This window comes from Homo sapiens, chromosome X (genome assembly GCF_000001405.40).
Source record: "Homo sapiens chromosome X, GRCh38.p14 Primary Assembly".
Classification (NCBI taxonomy): Eukaryota; Metazoa; Chordata; class Mammalia; order Primates; family Hominidae; genus Homo; species Homo sapiens.
In genome coordinates this window covers 41,352,279-41,374,168 of record NC_000023.11, presented here as the reverse complement: position 1 = coordinate 41,374,168, position 21,890 = coordinate 41,352,279, and the positions used below count along the sequence as shown (strand labels likewise).

General features: G+C 45.5%; 1 protein-coding gene across 1 annotated transcript in view; it reads right to left on the bottom strand.

Annotated features, from left to right (window-relative positions):
- DDX3X (DEAD-box helicase 3 X-linked) overlaps window positions 9,697-21,890 on the bottom strand; it is a 31,165-nt gene continuing 18,971 nt past the window's right edge. The window contains exons 18-19 of the transcript NR_126093.1: window positions 16,179-16,336; window positions 9,697-9,895 (exon numbers count right to left, since the gene is read on the bottom strand). The gene's annotated coding sequence lies outside the window, so the exon portion shown is untranslated. The remainder of the gene's footprint in view (window positions 9,896-16,178; window positions 16,337-21,890) is intronic.

Genomic DNA, 21,890 nt, shown 5'->3' with positions numbered 1-21,890 from the left:
AGCCTGGGCAACATAGCAAGATCCTGTCTCTACAAAAAGTTTAAAAATTAGCTGGACATGGTGGTGTGCACATGTAGTCCCAACTACTCGGGAGGCGGAGGCAGGAGGATTGCTTAAGCCCAGGAGTTCCAAGCTGCAGTGAGCTATGATATTATCACTATACTCCAGCCTGGGTAACAGAGTGAGACCTCGTCTCCAAAAATAAATAAATAAATAAATTTAAAATAATTAAAAAACACAAATATTTGTGTGCTGGGTCAGAGTTCTGGAGAAGATAAAAAGGATGCCAGAGGGGCCTGAACTTGGCCTGGGCAGGACACAGGGCAGTGAGAGAGACTTCCAGTGGGAGGAAGGGCTGTAATCTCCTTACTTCCATCACTGGCTGGCTGGTTGGTTCACCACTGTATCCCCATAGTATCTGTAAGCAAAGGGTCTGGCATGCAGTGTGTGCTTCATATATACTGTTTTTTGTTTGTTTGTTTGTTTGTTTTGAGACGGAGTCTTGCTCTGTCACTCAGGCTGGAGTGCAGTGCCACCATCTCAGCTCACTGCAACCTCTGCTTCCCGGGTTCAAGTGATTCTCCTGCCTTAGCTTCCCAAGTTACTGGGATTACAGGTGCCTACCACCACGCCCAGCTAATTTTTGTATTTTTAGTAGAGACAAGGTTTTACCATGTTGGCCAGGCTGATCTCAAACTCCTGACTGATCTCAGGTGATCCACCCATCTCGGCCTCCCAAAGTGCTGGGATTATAGGCATGAGCCACTGCACGCGGCCGAAGTCAAGTTTTAAAATTACATTTTAAAAGTGCTGTAAGTGAAAAAAACTGTCAACCAGAATTCTATATCTAGTGAAAATATCCTTCAGAAATGTAGGCAAAATAAAGACATTCTCAGACAAAGGAAAGCCGAGAGAGTATGCCACCAGCAGACCTGCTCTAAAACAAAAGCTAAAGGAGGTTCTTCAGAAGGGAAATGAGACCAGAAAGAAATGTGGAACTTTAGGGATAAAGGAAAAGCAATAGGAATGGTAAATATCTGAATAAATAGGATAGGCTACTTTTCTCTTCTTCTTCTTCTTTTTTTTTTTTTTTTTGAGACAGAGTCTCACTCTTTTTGCCCAGGCTGGAGTGCCGTGGCACGATCTCAGCTCACTGCAACCTCTGCCTCCTGGGTTCAAGCGATTCTCCTGCCTCAGCCTCTGGAGTAGAGTAGCTGGGATTACAGGCGCCTGCCACCATGCCCAGCTAATTTTTGTTGTTTTTAGTAGAGATGGGGTTTCACCATTTTGGCCAGGCTGGTCTCGAACTCCTGACCTCAGGTGATCGTCCCGCCTCGGCCTCCCAAAGTGGTAGGATTACAGGCATGAGCCACCTCGCCCAGCAATTTTCCTAGCATAAGCATTTAATGCTAGAAATTTTCTTTTAAGCACTGCACTTTAGCTGCATGCCACAGATTTTGGTATGATGTATTTGCATTACCATTCAGTTCAAAATAATTTCTAATTTCTCTTTAGGCTTTTTCTTTGATCTATAAGCTATTTAAGCATGTGCTACTTAATTTCTAAGTATTTGGGGATTTTTAAGGTATCTGTTATCTAGTTTAATTCTATTGTGGACAAAGAACACATTCTACATTATTTCAATTCTCCTAAGTTTGTTAAGGTTTGTTTTATGACACAAGATATGGTCTACTTTGGTAAACGTTTCATGTGCACCTCAAAACAACGTATATTCTGCTGTTGTTGGATGGAATGTTCTACACTCATTGATTAGATCCAGTTGGTTGATGGTGTTGCTCAATTCTTTTTTTTTTTTTTCTTTGAGACGGAGTCTCTCTCTGTCACCCAGGCTGGAGTGCAGTGGTGCAATCTTGGCTCACTGCACCCACTGCCTTCCAGTTTCAAGCGATTCTCCTGCCTCAGCCTCTGGAGTAGAGCAGCTGGGATTACAGGCACCCACCACCAAACCCAGTTAATTTTTGTATTTTTAGTTGAGACGGGGTTTCACCATGTTGGCCAGGCTGGTCTCAAACTCCTGACCTCATGATCTGCCTGCCTCGGCCTCCCAAAGTGCTGGGATTACAGGCGTGAGCCACCGCGCCTGGCCCCAGCTCAATTCTTTTATATCCTTGCTGATTTCCCCCCTACTTGGTCTATCAATTAATGAGAAAGGAGTGTTTAAGTCTCTATAATTGTAGGTTCGTCCATTTCTCTTTTCAATGATCTCAGTTTTTGCTCCCCATATTTTGAATTTGGAACTTGTACACATTTAGGATTGTTCTGTCTCCTTGGTGAATTAGCCCTTTTATCATTTTGTAACATCCCTTTCTATCCCTGGTATTTTCTTGCTCTGAAGTCTATTTTTATTTTATTTTTATTTTTATTTATTTATTTATTTATTTATTTATTTATTTATTCTGAGACAGAGTCTCGCTCTGTCACCCAGGTTGGAGTGCAGTGGCACAATCTCAGCTCACTACAACCTCCGCCTCCTGGGTTTAAGCAATTCTCCTGCCTCAGCCTCCCAAGTTGCTGGGACTACAGGTGCACGCCACCACGCCTGGCTAATTTTTGTATTGTTATGAGATACAGGCCAGGCGCTGTGGCTCACACCTGTAATCTCAACACTTTGGGAGGCCGAGGCAGGTGGATCACTTGAGGTCAGGAGTTCTAGACCAGTCTGGCCAACATGGTGAAACCCTGTCTCTTCTAAAAATACAAAGTTTGCCAGGCGTAGTGGCAGGCGCCTATAATCCCAGCTACTCAGGAGACTGAGGCAGGAGAATCACTTGAACCCAGGAGGCAAAGGTTGCAGTGAGCCGAGATTATGCCACTGCACTCCAGCCTGGGCAACAAGAGAGAAACTCTGTCTCAAAAAAAAGAAAAAAAAAAAAAACCAAAGAAAAAAGAAAGAAAGAAAACAGAAAGCCAATAAAGAAAATCAATGAAACCGAAAGCTAGTTTTTTGAAAAAAATAAAATCAGTAAAATTGATAAACCTCTAACCAGACTGACAAAGAAACAAAGAAAGACACAAATTACCAATGTCAGGAATAAAAGAGTGGGTATCACAATAGATACCACAGATATTAAAAAAGTAAGGGCATACTATAAATAACTATTTACATAAATTTAACAACTTAGATTAAATGAACCAATTTCTTGAAAGCCACAACTACCCAAGAGGAAATACATAGTGGAATAGTCCCATGTCTAATAAAGAAATTGAATTTGTAGTTAAAAACCTTCCAATTGGCCGGGCGTGGTGGCTCACACCTGTAATCCCAGCACTTAGGGAAGCTAAGGCAGGAGGATTGCTTGAGCCCAGGAGTTCAAGACCAGCCTGGGCAACATGGTGAAACCCCACCTACAAAAAAATACAAAAATTAGCTGACTGTGGTGGTGCACATCTGTAGTCCTGGCTACCTAGGAGGCTGAGGTGGGAGGATCACTTCAGCCAGGAGGTCAAGGCTGCAGTGAACCATGATCACACCACTGCACTCCAGCCTGGGTGACAGAGCAAGACTCCATCTCAAAAACAAACAAACAAAAAAAGAGTTCTTAGACTTAAGTCCAAAAGTTGATCTGTACAAGATAAAATCAGTAAACTGGGCGTCACCAAACTTAAAAGTATTTTGGTCCCCAAAAGACACTGTTAGGGCCAGACACCATGGCATATGCCTGTAATCCCAGCACTTTGGAAGGCTGAGGCGGGAGGATCACTTGAGCCCAGGAGGTCAAGACCAGCCTGGGAAACATAGTGAGGCCTGTCTCTACAAAAAAACTTTAAAATTAGCCAGGTGTGGTGCCACGTGCATGTAGTCCTAGCTACTCAAGAGCTGAGGTATGAGGATCGCTGGAGCCAGGGAGATTGAGGCTACAGTAAGCTAAGATTACACCACTGCACTCCAGCCTGGCCAACAGAGCGAGACCCTGTCTCAAAAAACAACAACAAAAAAGACACTGTTAGGAGAATGGAAAGAGAAGCTCCAGAAAGGAAATATTTGCAAATCACATATCTGGCAAGGGACCTATATCCAGAATATATGAAGAACTCTCAATACTCAACAATAAGAAAACAAGCCAATTTTTTAAATGGGCAAAAGATTTGAATGGATATTCCACCAAAATAATATAGATGGCAAATAAGCACATGAATAGATGCTCAACATTGTTGGCTGTTAGGGAAATGCAAAACAAAATCACAATGAGATATTAAGTTAAATATTAGAATGGCTGGAATAAAAAACACCCTGACAACACCAGCTGGTAAGATGGAAGAGCCCCTGGAACTCTCATACACTGCTGGTAGGAGTTCAAAATGGTACAGCCACTCTGGAAAACAGTTTGGGGCCAGGCACAGTGGCTCACGCCTGTAATCCCAGCACTTTGGGAGGCCAAGGGGGGCGGATCACCTGAGGTCGGGAGTTTGAGACCAGCCTGGCCAATATGGTGAAACCCTGTCTCTACTAAAAATACAAAAATTAGCCGGGCGTGGTGGCAGACTCCTGTAATCCCAGCTACTCGGGAGGCTGAGAGAGGAGAATCGCTTGAATCTGAGAGGTGGAGGTTGCAGTGACCCGAGATCGTGCCACTGCACCCCAGCCTGGGTGACAGAGCAAAACTCTGTCTCAGTAAATAAATAAATACAAACCAGTTTGGCAGTTTCTTATAAAGTTAAATATCTACTTACCATGTGATCCAATAAAAACTATTTTCATAGAAAAACTTGTACATGAATGCTTATGGCATCATTATTCATAATCACCAAAAACTAGAAGCCATCAAAATGTCCTTTGACATGTCAGTGGTTAAACTAATTGTGGTATGTCAATTCAATGAAATACTGTATTTACTCCAAGATAAAAGGAAAGGTGTACTAATGCTCACAACGACATGGTTGAATCTCTAAGGCACGCAGAGTGAAAGAAGCCAGTCCAAAAGGTTACGTGCGATATGATTCCATTTATATGATACTCTGGAAAAGGCAAAACCACAGTGATGGAGAACAGATCATTGGTTGTCAGGGGAGGGTGTGATAGAAACAGCAAGAGGGAGATTTTAGAGATGATGGAGATGCTCTGTGTCCTGACTGTGGTGGTGATTACACAGTCTGTGTATGTGTTAAAATCAGAACTGTACAGCCTCAAAAATTCAGTTTTACTCTATGTAAACTTTAAAAAATACAAGTAAAAAAAAAAATCTTGCCAGGTGTGCTTCTGTTTTCTCTCAGGCCCCTGACTGATCCAGCCACTATAAAGAGATTTAAAGGAGAAAATAGGCAGAAGAAAGGGAAAAGAAAGCATGTCTTTGACAGAAATTGCATGTGCAGGCCGGGCATGGTGGCTCATGCCTGTAATCCCAGCACTTTGGGAGGCCCAGGTGGGCAGATCACCTGAGATCAGGAGTTCAAGACCAGCCTGGCCAACATGGTGAAACCCCATCTCTACTACAACTACAAAAATTAGCCGGGTGTGGTAGCTCATGCCTGTAATCCCAGCTATTCAGGAGGCTGAGGCACAAGAATCACTTGAACCTGGGAGGCGGAGGTTGCAGTGAGCTGAGATTCCACCACTGCACTCCAGCCTGGGTGACAGAGCGAGACTCTGCCTCCAAAAAAAAAAAAAAAGAAAAAAAAGAAAGAAAGAAACTGCATGTGCAAAAGCCAGGAAGCGAGAAAAACATCAGAAGAATAAACGTGGCTTAGTGTGGCTAGAGTGAGAGTGTAAAGGAGGGAGTAGTTTAAAAAAAAAGTAGGGGCTGGGCACGGTGGCTCACACCTGTAATCTGACTTTAGGAATAAAAGCCAAGGTGAGATCATTGCTTGAGCCCAGGAGTTTGAGACCAGCCTGGGCAATATGGCAAGACTCTGCCTCTAATAAATAAATAAATAAATTGGCCAGGTGCGGTGGCTCACGTCTTTAATCCTAGCACTTTGGGAGGCTGAGGCAGGCGGATCACCTGAGGTCAGGAGTTCAAGACCAGCCTGGTCAACATGGTGAAACCTCATGTCTGCTGAAAATACAAAAATTATCTGGGCGTAGTGGCGCACACCTGTAGTCCCAGCTACTCGGGAGGCTGAGGCAGGAGAATCGCTTAGAGGCAGGAGAATCTCTTGATCCCAGGAGGTGGAGGTTGCAGTGAGCTGAGATCGTGCCACTGCACTCCAGCCTGGGTGACAGAGCTAGACTCTGTCTCAAATAAATAAATAAATAAATAAATAAATAAATAAATAAATAAAAGGCAAGCAAAAAAGTAGGAAAGCTAAAGCAGGAGCCAGGCCATATCAGTCACATTAAAGAATAAGGGCAACAAGGAGCCACTGAAACAGTGATTCCTACCCAGAGGTGTGCCCCAAAGTCATATGGGGAATGCTTGCAAACTACACATTCCCAACCCACAAGCCAAGCCAACAACTGAGAATCTCCAGAGATTGAACTGGAGCCTGCTGTGTGTTTGGCAAAGGCACCTCCAGAGATTCTGATGCGCATCCCTCATTACAAACAATTGCATTGCAGTGTTAATTGTTGAAGCTGCAGACAGCGCTATGGGGGTTCATTATACCATTCCTTCTCTACTTTTGTTTGAAAATTCTGTAACCTCCAATCTTGCTTTGCAATTGTTCTCAATAGCAAAATATTGGAAACAACTCAAATGTCCAGCAATAATAAAATGGATTAAATGTATTGTGGTTGGCCGGCCACGGTGGCTCACGCCTGTAATCCCAGCACTTTGGGAGGCCGAGGTGGGCGGATCTCCTGAGGTCAGGAGTTTGAGAACTGCCTGGCCAACAGGATGAAACCCTGTCTCTACTAAAAATACAAAAATTAGCCGGGCGTGGTGGCAGGCGCCTGTAATCGCAGCTACCCGGGAGGCTGAGGCAGGAGAATTGCTTGAATCCAGGAGGCGGAGGTTGCAGTGAGCTGAGATTGTGCCATTGTACTCCAGCCTGGGTGACAGAGCAAGACTCTGTCTCAAAAACAAACAAACAAACAAACAAATAAATTGTGGTGTTCATGAAATGGAATATTATACAACAAAGAAAGCTCAAAAACAGGCAAAGCAAAATTTAGGGCTGTGTATGTGGGTGATTAAACTATAAAGCAAGGAAGGAGTGTGGCTGCCCCTAGGAAGAAGGGGTTAAGATTAGAAAAGAGTATTTTTTTTTTTTTTTTTTTGAGATGGAGTCTCTCTCTGTAGCCCAGGCTGGAATGCAGTGGCCTGATCTCAGCTCACTGCAACCTCTGTCTCCCAGGTTCAGGTGGTTCTCCTGCCTCAGCCTCCCAAGTAGCTGGGATTACAGGCGTGCACCACAACACCCAGCTAATTTTTGTATTTTTAGCAGAGATAGGGTTTCACCATGTTGCCCATGCTGGTCTCGAACTCCTGACCTCAAATGATCCACCTGCCTCAGCCTCCCCAAGTGGTGGGATTACAGGTGTTAGCCACCGCGTCCAGCCAGGAAAGTCTCTCTGATGGGCCTCTGGGATGCTGGCAAAGCTGTTTCTTGGCCTGGGAGACAGTTATTAATAGACTGCTATTTGTGTTATAAGTTATATGATCGGCCTGGCACTGTGGCTGATGCCTGTAATCCCAGCACTTTGGGAGGCTGAGGCGGGAGGATCACTTGAGCCCAGGAGTTCAAAACTAGCCTGGGCAACACAGCAAGACCTAGTTTCTATTAATACTAAAAATAAAAATAAAAAAATTAGCAGGATGTGGTGGTGCACACCGGTAGTCCCAGCTACTTGGAAAGCTGAGGTGGGAGGGTCACTTGAGCCTAGGTGATCGAGGCTGCAGTGAGCTGAGATCACACCACTGCACTCCAGCCTGGGCGACAGAACCAGACTCTGATCCCTCCAAAAAAATTTTTTTAGGCCGGGCGTGGTGGCTCACGCCTGTAATCCGAGTACTTTGAGAGGCCGAGGTGGGCGGATTGCCTGAACTCAGGAGTTCAAGACCAGCCTGGGCAATATGGTGAAATCCCGTCTTTACTAAAAATACAAAAATTAGCCAAGCGTGTTGGCGCACGCCTGTAGTCCCAGCTACTCAGGAGACTGAGGCAGGAGAATTGCTTGAACCCTGGAGGCAGAGGTTGCAGTGAGCCGAGATCATGCCACTGCACTCCAGCCTGGCAACAGAGGGAGACTCCGTCTCAAAAAAAAAAAAAATTAAATTATGTGATATGCCTTTTTCCTGCATTTTTAAAAAACTGACACTGCAGGGTTTATTTTAGCGGAAGAATAATATATCTGATTTGCTCTTTGGGGAGGTGGCTCTGACTTCTGGGTGGAGAACGGATGGAATGTGAGAGCCCTCAGGACAGCTGGACCAATTCTGAGGCTGCTGCAGCAATTAAGGTGAGGGCATCGATGGGGGCCTCAACCAGGGTGGCGGCAGGCAGTTTAGGAGAAGCAGGCATCGGAGGGGAGCTTGGACAGTGGAGCCAACTGGAGTTAGCATTTTGGGGTGTTGATGAGGGCACAGGGGCCATGCAGGAAGTCAAGGGAGCCTGGGCTCAGCTTTTTTGAGCTGCGTAATCCTTTTCTTACTAACATCATCCTTTTCCTTTTGTGTCCTTTTAGCCCATGCAGGGGGCTGGAACCAGAATACCTTTTACCTCCTTTTCAAATCATTTACATTAGGAGAAGACAAATGTGTTTCAGGAACCACAAACCATGGGGTTTAAGCAGATAGCAATTATGCACCATTAGCAGTGTGAAGAACTGATCCAGGCCGGGCCAGGTGGCTCAGGCCTGTAATCCCAACACTTTGGGAGGCAAAGGTGGGAGGATCCCTTGAGCCCAGAAGTTTGAGACCAGCCTGGGCAACATAGTGAGAACATGCCTCCACAAAAAATACAAAAATTAGCCAGGCATGGTGGTGGGGGCTTATAGTCCCAGCTACTTGGGAGGCTGAGGGGAAAAGATTGCTTGAACCCAGGAGGTAAAGGTTGCAGTGAGCCAAGATCATGCCAGTGCACTCCAGCTTGGGTGACAGAGCAAGACTCTGTGTCAAAAAAAAAAAAAAAAAAAAAAAAAGGCTGGTCACGGTGGCTTACACCTGTAATCCCAGCACTTTGGGAGGCCAAAGCAGGTGGATCACCTGAGGTCAGGAGTTCAAGACCAGCCTGACCAACATGTAGTGAAACCCCATCTCTACTAAAAAATACAAAAATTAGCTGGGCATGGTGGCACACACCTGTAGTCACAGCTACTTGGGAAGCTGAGGCAGGAGAATCGCTTGAACCCCAGAGGCGGAGGTTGTAGTGAGCCAAGATTGAGCCACTGCACTCCAGCCTGGGCAACAGAGCAAGACTCTGTCTCTCCAAAAAAAAAAAAAAAAAAAGAATCAATTCATAACACAATATCAAGCTCATAAGTGTTCGCACAGCATTCTTGGGAATTTATCTAAAGAGAATATTTTTTTAAAGACTTACCAATTACCCAACTCCAACAACTGTCAACTGTGATCAATCCTGTTTCATCTATACCCTGACCCACTTCCTCTCTATTTGGAAGCAAATCCCAGACATCACTCCATTTCATTGGTAACTCCTGGGCTCAAGCGATCCGCCTGCCTCAGCCTCCCAAAGTGCTGGGATTACAGGCATGAGCCACTGCACCTGGCCCCAATTTTTAATTTGGAAAAAAATTTAAACCTGCCCCAAAGTTGCAAGAATAGACAGCCGAGGGGATGAGGCCAAGGTGCATAGGTGTTTATTTTTCTCATGTAATAAGAGGGCCAGAAGAAAACAGCTCAGGCTGGGCACGGGTGTCACCATGTCATCTGCATGTAGGCTCACTGAAGTCTCCATTCCACCAATCTCAGCATGCGGTTCTCATCTTTGTGGTCACAGACCAGTTCACACACTTCTGGGCATCACGCTCCAAGTTCTAGGAGAGAAAAAAGAGCAGAGCCAAAAGCCTCTTGTGAGGCTTTGCTTGGGAAGGGGCACCCGCCCCATGGACTTCCACCTAATACTCCCACCTACTCCCATTACTACATTGACCGGAACTGGGAGGCAAGTCTCTCCTGGAGTACAAGGCTGAGGAGCCAACTATTCTTAGAGAGGCACATTGCCATCCTGAACCAAATTGGGGTTCTGTTAGGAAGGAAGGAGTGGAAGGGGATATCTGTTACAGAAGGGTGAGAGAATGAAGGCAGAGGGGCAGCTGTTTCTGGGGTCTAGGCTGAAGGAAGCGTGGAAGAACAGCTGATATGAACAGTGCTCAGAAACAATGAGGCAGCCTCAGGTCACTGACAAATGGAGAGAGGTGGTGAAATGAAGAGCGGTCAGGGTGGCTCTGAGCTTCCTCCCATGGGAGAGTAGTGGAAGGATTGCGGCAGGGTTTTGGTTTTTTGTTTGTTTGTTTCTTTTGTTTTGAGACGGAGTTTCGCTCTTGTTGCCCAGGCTGGAGTGCAATGGTGCGATCTCGGCTCACTGCAACCTTTGCCTCCCGGGTTCAAGTGATTCTCCTGCCTCAGCCTTCCGAGTAGCTGGGATTACAGGCATGCGCCACCATGCCTGGCTAATTTTGAATTTTTAGTAGAGACGGGGTTTCTCCATGTTGATCAGGCTGGTCTTGAACTCCCGACCTCAGGTGATCTGCCCTCCTTGGCCTCCCAAAGTGCTGGGATTACAGGTGTGAGCCACTGCGCCCGGCCAGAGTTATATTTTTTGTGACAGTCAACTATTATATGTCCATAGGAACCATGGAATCATCAACTCTTTTATTTTTTGTGAGACAGAGTCTCACTCTATTGCCCACACTGGAGTGCAGTGGTGCAATCTCAGCTCACTGCAACCTCCACCTCCTGGGTTCAAGCGATTCTCCTGCCTTGGCCTCCCATGTAGCTGGGACTACAGGCGCCTGCCACCATGCCCAGCTAATTTTTGTATTTTTAGTAGAGACAAGGTTTCACCATGCTGGCCAGGCTGGTCTTGAACTCCTGACCTCAAGTAATCCACTGCCTCGGCCTCCCAAAGTGCTGGGATTACAGGTGTGAGCCATTGCACTCAGTCATCAAGTGGCTCTTTGAATAGATCACTTCTTAATTGTATACAGCAAGTATGGTTCTTCTCACTTCATAGCAAAGAAAGAAATGCCCAGAAAGAAAGGCATTAGCTGAAGGTCCCAGTCAGTGAGGTGGTAATCTCTTGCCCATGAATAGAGAGCATTTTACTTTTAGAAAGTAAAAGTGCTTTCATGTTAGATCCTTTCAAGGCAGGAAGACAGCAGGGGAGGCTGTCTGATGAGCTCATAATATGGGAGCCAGGAAGAACGTGTCTACCTGGAGTGCGCTACATGTAGTGACCAGGAGCCAGTGGAAGCACAGGCTGTCCTTGACCTGTCCCTCATCAGCTGGGAGTGAGGTGGCCAAAGAAGAATCATGAGCCTCAGCAGCTCCTGCCCCACCTCCCATAGGGAAGAGACTAGCCCAGAGCCCTGTCAGGGGACGGATGTCTTTTCTGTAGCGCTTCCTTGGAACTTTATAATTAGAGTAGTTAGTTAAGGATGTCAGGGAGAGCCTCTCAGGAGAAGTGACACTTGAGTTGAGTCCTGAATGAGGAGGAGACAGCCATGTGAAGAAAGGAGGTTCCAGCAGAAAGGATGAACTTGGCGCAGTTAAGGATTGAAAGGCGGCTGGTATGATAGGAGCACAGTGGATGAGGGAAGGTTGGCAGGAGTCTTGTATAGTAAGTCATGATGGAGACAGGGAGACCAGGTAAGGAGGCTGTTCCAGTAGTTCAGATGAGGAAAGAAGTTAACTTGGCTCAGCTGGGCATTGTGGCTCACATCTGTAATCCCAGCACTTTGAGGGGCCAAGGCGGGCAGATTACCTGAGGTCAGGAGTTCGAGACCAGCCTGGCCAACATGGCAAAACCCCGTCTCTACTAACAATGCAAAAATTAGCCGGGCGTGGTGGCACACGCCTGTAATCCCAGCTACTCAGGAGGCTGAGGCAGGAGAATTGCTTGAACCCAGGAGGCAGAGGTTGCAGTGAGCCGAGATCGCACCATTGCACTCCAGTCTGGGCAACAAGAGCAAAACTCTGTCTCAAAAAAAAAAAAAAAAAAAAAAGTTAATTATTTGGCTCAGGATTTTAGCAGTGGTGATGATGCAGTGGGCAGGTGTGGAGATAGAACTTAGGAAATTCAATGACAAGTGGTATGAGAGAAAGAAAAAAGGAATGACTTCCCAGCTTTGACCTGAGTGACTAGGTGAAAGAAGATGCCACTTAATGAGATGTGGGGGGACCCTGGAGAAGGCAGGGAAAGGCAGAGAGAAAGTACAAGTATCTCTTGCTATCCACCATCCATTCCATGCATTTGTTCAGATGCTGAGGAATATTGCATTATTTGAACATTAGATAATCTATGAAAATACTTAAGTAGGCCGGGCACAGTGGCTCATGCCTGTAATCCCAGCACTTCGGGATTTGTTTGTGATATATTGTCTAATATTTGGGTTGTGAGGAGAAAGAGGGCCAGGCATGAGAGGCCAAAGTGGAGGAGAACCAAGAAGTGTGCGCACATGGAAACCTAGGGACTAAAGCATGTCCATGAGGATGTACTCAGTGTACAGTACTGCTGAAGGGCCTAGTAAAACGACAAAGAATAGGTGACTGTGACTTTTTTTTATTTTTATTTTTTTGAGACAGAATCTCACTCTGTTGCCAGGCTGGAGTGCAGTGGCATGATCTCAACTCACCGCAACCTCCGCCTCCCGGGTTCAAGTGATTCTCCTGCCTCAGCCTCCTGAGTAGCTGGGATTACAGGTGCCAGCCACCACACCCGGCTAATTTTTTGTATTTTCAGTACAGACAGGGTTTCACCATGTTGGCCAGGATGTTCTTGATCTCCTGACCTCATGACCCACCCGCCTTGGCCTCTCAAAGTGCTGGGATTACAGGCATGAGCCACCATGCCCGGCCGACTGTGACTTATAGGAGCCACTTCGTTGGGATGACAAAAGCTGATTAGAGTAGAATAAAAATAAGGCAAGAAGTAGACACAGTGGATTTGAGGTCTTGCAGGAAGCAGGGGGCAGTACAAAAAAAAAAAACAGAGCGGCAAGCTGCAGAGGGACATAAGATCAAGAGGGCTTGATGGGTGATATTGGGCCAAGCACCGTGGCTCATGCCTGTAATTCCAACAGTTTGGGAGGCTGAGGTGGGAGGATTGCTTGAGCCCAAGAGGTCAAGGCTACAGTGAGCCGTGATGGTGCTACTGCACTCCAGCCTGGGTGACAGAGTGAGACCCTATACCCCAACTGTGCCCCCCCCAAACAAAGATGGGTGATATTAAGGGAGTGAGCCAGGAGAGTGGGAAATATAGATGATGCATGAATAGATGAGAGACAACCACAAGCGCTAGGTTCCTGAGAAACAAATAGAAGATTTGGCCTTAAACAGAGGCACTAGGCTGGGTGTGGTTGCTCATGCCTGTAATCCTAGCACTTTGGGAGGCCAAGGCGGGTGGATCACTTGAGGCCAGGAGTGCAAGACCAGCCTGGCCAACATGGTAAAACCCCGTCTCTATTAAAAACACAAAAATTAGCTAAGTGTGGTGGCGCATGCCTATAATCCCAGCTACTTGGGAGGCTGCAGCAGGAGAATCACTTGAACCTGGGAGACAAAGGTTGCGGTGAGCCGAGATTACGCCACTGCACTCCAGCCTGGGCGACAGGGTAAGACCCTGTCTCAAATAAACAAACAAACAAACAAACAAGAGCACTCCATACCTCCTCCACTAGGAGGAAACAGAAAGCTTCTTTTTTTTTTTTTTGAGACAGAGTTTTACTCTGCCGCCCAGGCTGGAATACAATGGCATGGTCTCAGCTCACCGCAACTTCTGCCTCCCGGGTTCAAGCGATTCTCCTGCCTCAGCCTCCCGAGTAGCTGGGATTACAGGCACGCACCACCACGCCCAGCTAATTTTTGTACTTTCAGTAGAGACGGGGTTTCACCATGTTGGCCAGGCTGGTCTTGAACTCCTGACCTCAGGTGATCCGCCCACCTCCGCTTCCCAAAGTGTTGGGATTACAGGCATGAGCCACCATGCCCAGCCGGAAATTGAAAGCTTCTAAGGGAAGAAAAGGCACACATATGGCTGGAGTGACACTACTTCCTCTCTTGGGGTTTTATTTATTTATGTATTTATTTATTATTATTATTATTTTTTGAGACAGAGTCTCGCTCTGTCGCCCAGGCTGGAGTGCAGTGGCGCGATCTCGGCTCACTGCAAGCTCCACCTCCCGGGTTCACGCCATTCTCCTGCCTCAGCCTCCCGAGTAGCTGGGACTACAGGCACCCGCCACCGCGCCCGGCTAATTTTTATTTTTATTTTTTATTTTTTTTTGTATTTTTAGTAGAGACAGGGTTTCACCATGGTCTCTATCTCCTGACCTCGTGATCCACCTGCCTCGGCCTCCCAAAGTGCTGGGATTACAGGCATGAGCCACCACACCTGGCCCACTTTTTTAAAAATAGCTTTAACGTTTCATTTGATATACTTATACCTTATCTCACTCCAAAATTTGGAGGCAACTTTTTTTTTTTTTTTTTTTGAGATGGAATCTTACTCTGTTGCCCAGGCTGAAGTGCAGTGGCACCATCTTGGCTCACTGCAACCTCTGCCTCCTGGGTTCAAGCAATTCTCCTGCCTCAGCCTCCCAAGTAGCTGGAATTACAGGTGCACACCACCAGGCCTGGCTAATTTTTGTATTTTTAGTAGAGGCTTCTACCATGTTGGCCAGGCTGGTCTCAAGCTCCTGACCTCAGGTGATATGCCCACCTCCCAAAGTGCTGGGATTACAGGCATGAGCCACGATGCCCGGCCTGGAGGCAACTTTCAGATGTCCATGCAAGAAAATGAAAAGGTTGGGAAATAGAAAATAAGTAAAAGAGATTCAACCATGGGTATTGCTAATAAATGCAGTAAGACTTCATTCCTGTGGTGGGCAAAAGTGAAATCACTTAGTTTTCCCAGTGTTGCTTCCAAGAAAGCATGTTTCTTAGACGCAAAGAGTATTTGTGACACTGATACTTGGGATAAATTTATACCACGGGTTCTGTTAACACTGTAGATTTCTTCAAAATTCCTGTACAGGCCAGGCACAGTGGCTCACGCCTGTGATCCTAGCACTTTGGAAGGCCAAGGTGGGTGTCTTACTTGAGGTCAGTTCGAGACCATCCTGGCCAACATGGTGAAACCCTGTCTCTACTAAAAATACAAAAATTAGCCAGGAGTGGTGGTGGGCACCTGTAATCCCAGCTACTCGGGAGGCTGAGGCAGGAGAATTGCCTGAACCCGGGAGGCGGAGGTTGCAGTGAGCCAAGATGGCGCCATTGTACTCCAGCCTAGGGGACAAGAGTGAAACTCCATCTCAAAAAATAAAAAATAAAAAAAATCCCCGCACAATAAAGAGGACTGCAAATTGAGCATGGCAGCTGCTTTTGTGCTCCATATGAAAGGGAAGGCTCTGCCAAGAGTGTTCCAATTAAAGAACTTCTACAGGAAGTCACAGCAGCAGCATTCAAGGACAAGGTTCCCTGATGAAAATTGACATGGAAATTTTAAGGGTTATTAAAATCCTGGGACATTAAGGTAATTAAGTTGAATGCATGCTGAGAATTAATATTCAAGTAACTCCAAAGTACTCTCAAAATGATGAGTTTTAAGAAGATGAAACTGAAAAGGTAGAAAATTCCAAGTTTGGGATTAGCTGAATACTGCATTTTCTGCCCAGGCAGTTATTAACTTACTTAATTGACTATTAGAAAGCGTCGACCAGGCACGGTGGCTCACACCTGTAATCCCAGCACTTTGGGAGGCCGAGGCGGGCAGACCACGAGGTCGGGGGTTCGAGACCAGCCTGACCAACATGGAGAAACTCTGTCTCTACTAAAAAATACAAAATTAGCAGGGCATAGTGGCGCATGCCTGTAATCCCAGCTACTCAGGAGGCTGAGGCAGGAGAATTGCTTGAACCCAGGAGGTGGAGGTTGCGGTGAGCAGAGGTCACACCATTGCACTCCAGCCTGGGCAACAATAGCGAAACTCCATCTCAAAAAAAAAAAAAAAAAAAAAAAAAAAAAGAGTGTCTATCTCTGTCCCAGATAGGAAACCTTCCAAAAGGTGCTTACAGACTAAGAATGCTTACAGACTCATGCCTGCATGAGTTATGGTTGTCTTCATCAGGAGGGTTGGTCGGTCTCAAATACCTAAGGCTGCCATGACTACATGCTGGACTCCTGAATATTCCTGCATGCACTTTCTTCACAAAATATGGCATTTCATGGAGGCACTTGCTCCACAGAGGAGCATGATCCTAGGATGAACAAATAGGAGAATCCCATGTTAGGAAGTACTAGGTAATCTTTACTGTTGGTTGGATATTCCAAGTTCACAACATAAAAATAAATTTAGGCTGCACGCAGTGGCTCACGCCTGTAATCCCAGCACTTTGGGAGGCTGAGGTGGTAGGATCGCCTGAGCTCAGGCATTGGAGACTAGCCTGGGCAACATAGCAAGACCTTGTCTCTACTAAAAATAAAAATACAAAAATTAGCCAGGTGTGGTGGTGTGTGCCTGTAGTCCCAGCTATTCAGGAGGCTAATGCAGGAGGATTGCTTGAGCCCAGTGACAGAGCAAGACTGGACCCTGTCTCAAAAAAATAAAAATAAAAAAGTTTTGGACCCAACATAGTAAAGATGTCGATTCTCCTCAAAACTGATCTATAGGTTTAGCAGCATTACCATCAGAATCCCAGCAAGATTCTTTTGTAGATAGAAAAAAAGCTTATTCTAAAATTTATGTGGAAAGGCAAAGGAACTAGAAGAGCTAAATTACTTTTGCAAAACTATAATAAAGTGAGAGGAATCACTCCTACCCAACGTTAAGACTTATTATATAGATAAAAATAATTGAGGCCACACGCAGTGGCTCACGCTTGTAATCCCAGCAATTTGGGAAGCCGAGGTGGATAGATCACCTGAGGTCAGGGGTTCAAGACCAGCCTGGCCAACATGGTGAAAACCTGTCTCTACTAAAAATACAAAAATTATCTGGGTGTGGTGGCGCACACCTGTAATCCAAGCTACTTGGGAGGCTGAGGCAGGAGAATCGCTTGAACCCAGGAGGTACAGGTTGCAGTGAGCTGAGATCATGCCACTACACTCCAGCCTGGGTGACAGAGCAAGACTCCGTCTCAAAAAAAAAAAAAAAAAAAAAAGAATTAGTGTGATATTCTGCAGGAATGGTGGAAGGATAGGCATATAGATTAATGAAACGGAATTGTGAACCTAGAAATAGATTCACAAAAGGACAGCCAACTGATTTTTGACAAAGGTACAAAAGCAATTCAATGGAGAAAGAACATTCTTTTTGACGAATGATGCCGGCCGGGCACGGTGGCTCACGCCCGTAATCCCAACACTTTGAGAGGCCGAGGCGGGCAGATCACAAGGTGGGAGATCAAGACCACCCTGACCAACACGGTGAAACCCCATCTCTATTAAAATAAAATAAAATAAAAATTAGCCAGGTGTGGTGGTGTGCGCCTGTAGTCCCAGCTACTCAGGAGGCTGAGGCAGGGGAATCACTTCAACCCAGGAGGCAGAGGTTGCAGTGAGCCGAGATCGTACCACTGCACTCCAGCCTGGCAACAGAGTGAGACTCCGTCTCAAAAAAAAAAAAAAAAAAAAAAAGAAATACTGGCCAGGCGAGGTGGCTCATGCCTGTAACCCCAGCACTTTGGGAGGCCAAGGCAGGTGGATCACCTGAAGTCAGGAGTTTGAGACTAACTTGGTCAATATGGTGAAACCCCGTCTCTACTAAAAATACAAAAATTAGCCATTAGCCAGGCATGTTGGTGGGCACCTGTAATCCCAGATACTTGGGAGGCTGAGGCACGAGAATGGCTTGAACCTGGGAGGCGGAGGTTGCAGTGAGCCAAGATCACACCACTGCACTTCAGCCTGGGCAACAGAGTGAGACACTGTCTCAAAAAAAAAAAAAAAAAAAAGCTGACAAATTGGACTACATCAAACTTTTAAATGTTTAAGAACAATTAAAAGCATTTGCTCTGCAAAAGACCTTTTTAAGATGAAAAGACGACTTTGATTGAGAGAAAATATTTGCAAGCTGTCAAAAAGACTTGTACTTAGAATAAAGAACTCTCAAAACTCAACAGTAAAAAACTATCAATTTAAAAATGAGCAAAAGACACAGACATATATTTTACCAAAGAGGATACAGGGATGGCAAATAAGAACACGAAAAGATGTTCAACATCACCAGCCATTAGAGAAATGCAAATTAAGACAATAAGATACTACTTTACACCAATTAGAGCAGCCAAAATTTAAAAATAATGACATGCCTGGTGTGGTGGCTCATGCCTGTAATCCTAGCACTTTGAGAGTGCTGGGCTAGATGGGAGGATCACTTGAGCCCAGAAATTCAAGACTGGCCTGGGCAACATAGTGAGACCACATCTCAAAAAAAAAAAAAAAAAGAAAAAGAAAATTAGCCGAGCATGGTGGTACACACCCGTGGTCCCAATTACTCAGGAGGCTGAGGTGGGAGGATGGCTTGAGCTTGGGAGCTCAAGGCTGCAGTGAGCCATGATAGGGCCACTGCACTCCAGCCTGGGTGACAGAGTGGGACCCTGTCTCAAAAAATAATAATAGTAAGAATAATAACAATACCAAATGCTGGTGAGGATGCAGAGAAATTGGATCTGTCCTGCATTGCTGGTAGGAATGTAAAATGGTACAGCCACTCTGAAAAATGGTATGGCAGTGTTTTAAACTAACACATACTTAACACAGGAGCCAGCAATTGTACTCCTGGGCATTTATGCCACATAAATGAAAACTTATGTCTACACGAAAACCTGTATATAGGTTCATATGTAGCTGAATGTTCATGGCAGCTTTATTTGTAAGTCACAAACCGGAAACAAGACAAATATCCTTCAACGGCTGAACGGATAAACTACAGAATATCTATACTATTCAGCAATAAAAAAGAACAAACTGGCCGGGCACGGTGGCTCACACCTATAATCCCAGCACCTTAGGAGGCCGAGGCGGGCGGATCACCCGAGGTCAGGACTTCGAGACCAGCCTGGCCAACATGGTGAAACCCCGCCTCTACTAAAAATACAAAAATTAGCTGGGTGTGGTGTCATGCACCTGTAATCCCAGCTACTTGGGGAGAATTGCTTGAACCCTGGAGGTAGAGGTTGCAGTGAGCCGAGATCGCACCACTGCACTCCAGCCTGGGCAACAGAGTGAGACTCCATCTCAAAACAACAACAACAACAACAACAACAAAACTATTTACAACAACTTGGATTGATCAGAGACATTATACTGAGTCAAAATAACCTAGTCTCAAAAGGTCACATACTGCATTTATGTAACAATTTTAAAATTACATTTTAGAGATGTTAAACAGACAAGTAGTTGTCAGGGGTTGGGGACAGGTTAGGGAAGCAGGAAGGGGACAGATACGATTTAAAAAGAGGTAGCAAGCTGAGCACTGTGGCTCATGCATGTAATCCCAGCATTTTGGGAGGCTGAGGCAGGAGGATCACTTGAGGAGTTCAGTTCAAGACCAGCCTGGGCAACATAGTGGGATCCCATCTCTACAAATAATTTAAAAATTAGCTAGGTGTGGTGGCACACGCCTGTAGTCCCAGCTACTCAGGAGGCTGAGGTGGGAGGATTGCTTGAGCCTGGGAGGTCAAGGCTACTGCGAGCTATGGTCACACCAGCCTGCGCAACCCTGTCTCAAAAAAAAAAAAAAAAAGAGGTAGCACAAGGGAGATCATTGTGATGATGGAACTGTTCTGTGGAGGGGGTTACACAAATCTACACATATAAAACTGCACAGAACTACACACATGACTGCATACAAATGAGTAAAACTGGTGAAATTGGAACAGGGTGTGTGGATTGTACCAATGGCAATTTCCTGGTTTTGTACTGCAGTATGCCAGATGTTACCATTGGGGGAAACTGCGTGAAGGATACAGTGGAACCTCTCTTGTTTTTGCAACTTCCTGTGAATCTATACAGTTTTATTAGAAAATACATTTTAACCGTATAAAATCTGCTCAGGAAAGGATAAAGCAGCAGAAAATCTTTATAATTTCAACCAGTAGCAAAAACTATTAATATTTTAGCAGGTTTCCTTCTGGTCTTCTATGTATTTTCAAAATACTTAAGATCATTCTGCACACTGAGATGTAACCTACTTTTTTCTCTACCCACTGGAACAAGTTATTTTCTCTATGTCACTAGTAATTGTCAATGGCAGCTTTATTGTGTGTGTGTGTGTGTGTGTGTATGCGTGTGTATAGAGAGAGAGATTTTTTTTTTTTGAGATGGAACCTCACTCTGTTGCCCACAGTGGAGTACAGTGGCACAAACTTGGCTCACTACAACCTCCACCTCCCAGGTTCAAGTGATTCTCCTGCCTCAGCTTCCCAAGTAGCTGAGACTATAAGCGCTTGCCACCACGCCCAGCTAATTTTTTTTTTTTTTTTAGTAGAGACGGAGTTTCACCATGTTGGCCAGGCTGGTCTTGAACTCCACCCACCTCCCAAAGTGCTGGGATCACAGGTGTGAGCCACTGTGCCGGGCCAGCACCTTAATATTCTGAATACAATATATATATATTTTTTGAGATGGAGTCTTGCTCTATCACCCAGGCTGGAGTGCAGTGGCACAATCTCAGCTCACTGCAAGCTCTGCCTCCTGGGCTGACACCATTCTCCTGCCTCAGCCTCCTAAGTAGCTGGGACTACAGGTGCCTGCCACCTTGCCCGGCTAATTTTTTTTTTTTTTTTTTTTTGTATTTTTAGTAGAGACAGGGTTTCACCGTGTTAGCCAGGATGGTCTCGATCTCCTGACCTCGTGATCTGCCTGCCTCGGCCTCCCAAAGTGCTGGGATTACAGGCGTGAGCCACTGCGCCCAGCCCAATATTTTAAAACATTAGTTTAGCTCCAATTCTAGTTAGAAGGAACATGGTGAGCAAAAACTAAGGCAAAGGCAGAAGAAAGCACAGGATTTGCATAGACAGTAGCATGACATTCAGCTACAGGATAAGGTCTGGGAGGCAAGTTAAAGCTGCAATGGTAGATTAGAACCACGCCATAGGGGCCACGTAATAGAATGCCATTACTTTGTTTGCAATATCTGTTTTAATTTGGAATACAGAGATGCTTCCACAATGAAGAACCAGAAGCATGATCATGGCAATGCTAAGTCTGAAACAAATGACAAAAAGAAGGGGAGTGAACAGTGGACTCCACACCTAAGCCTGCTGTATCAGAATTGCCTGGGGAGCTTTAGGAATAAAAACACAAGCAAAAACCAAAACCAAAACCACAGATTTCTGAGAGAACCTCAGAGGTGGAGGATCCTGTTAGGAGAGTTGCCCTAGAATCATTTCCCAGGTACTTTCTGTTGCAACACCAAGTTGGAGAAACACAAAAGGAAAATGGCTAGGTTCCAAGAAAGGAAAGACTAATCTAAATTAATCACTACATCTCCCAGTGCCAATACTCAAGCAGACACCAAATCAGGTTTTGATTGCACCCTAAGTCAACCCTCGCCTTGCACTGAAAGATCCCATCAGGTGATTGAGGTCTGGAGAAGAGGTTCAGGGACCATTCTGCATACCACTAATGTTGACTGTTAGGTAAATGAGATGGGCTGTTGGGAATAGAATGAGTGGAAAAGGAAGTGAATGGAGGATCTCCAGCGAAAGATAGGAGGTACTTCTCTCGAAAAATGAAACATCTTCAATGTAACAAGGAAGACAGTAAATATCCAATAAACCATGATTGTATCTGCTTCACACAGTAAAA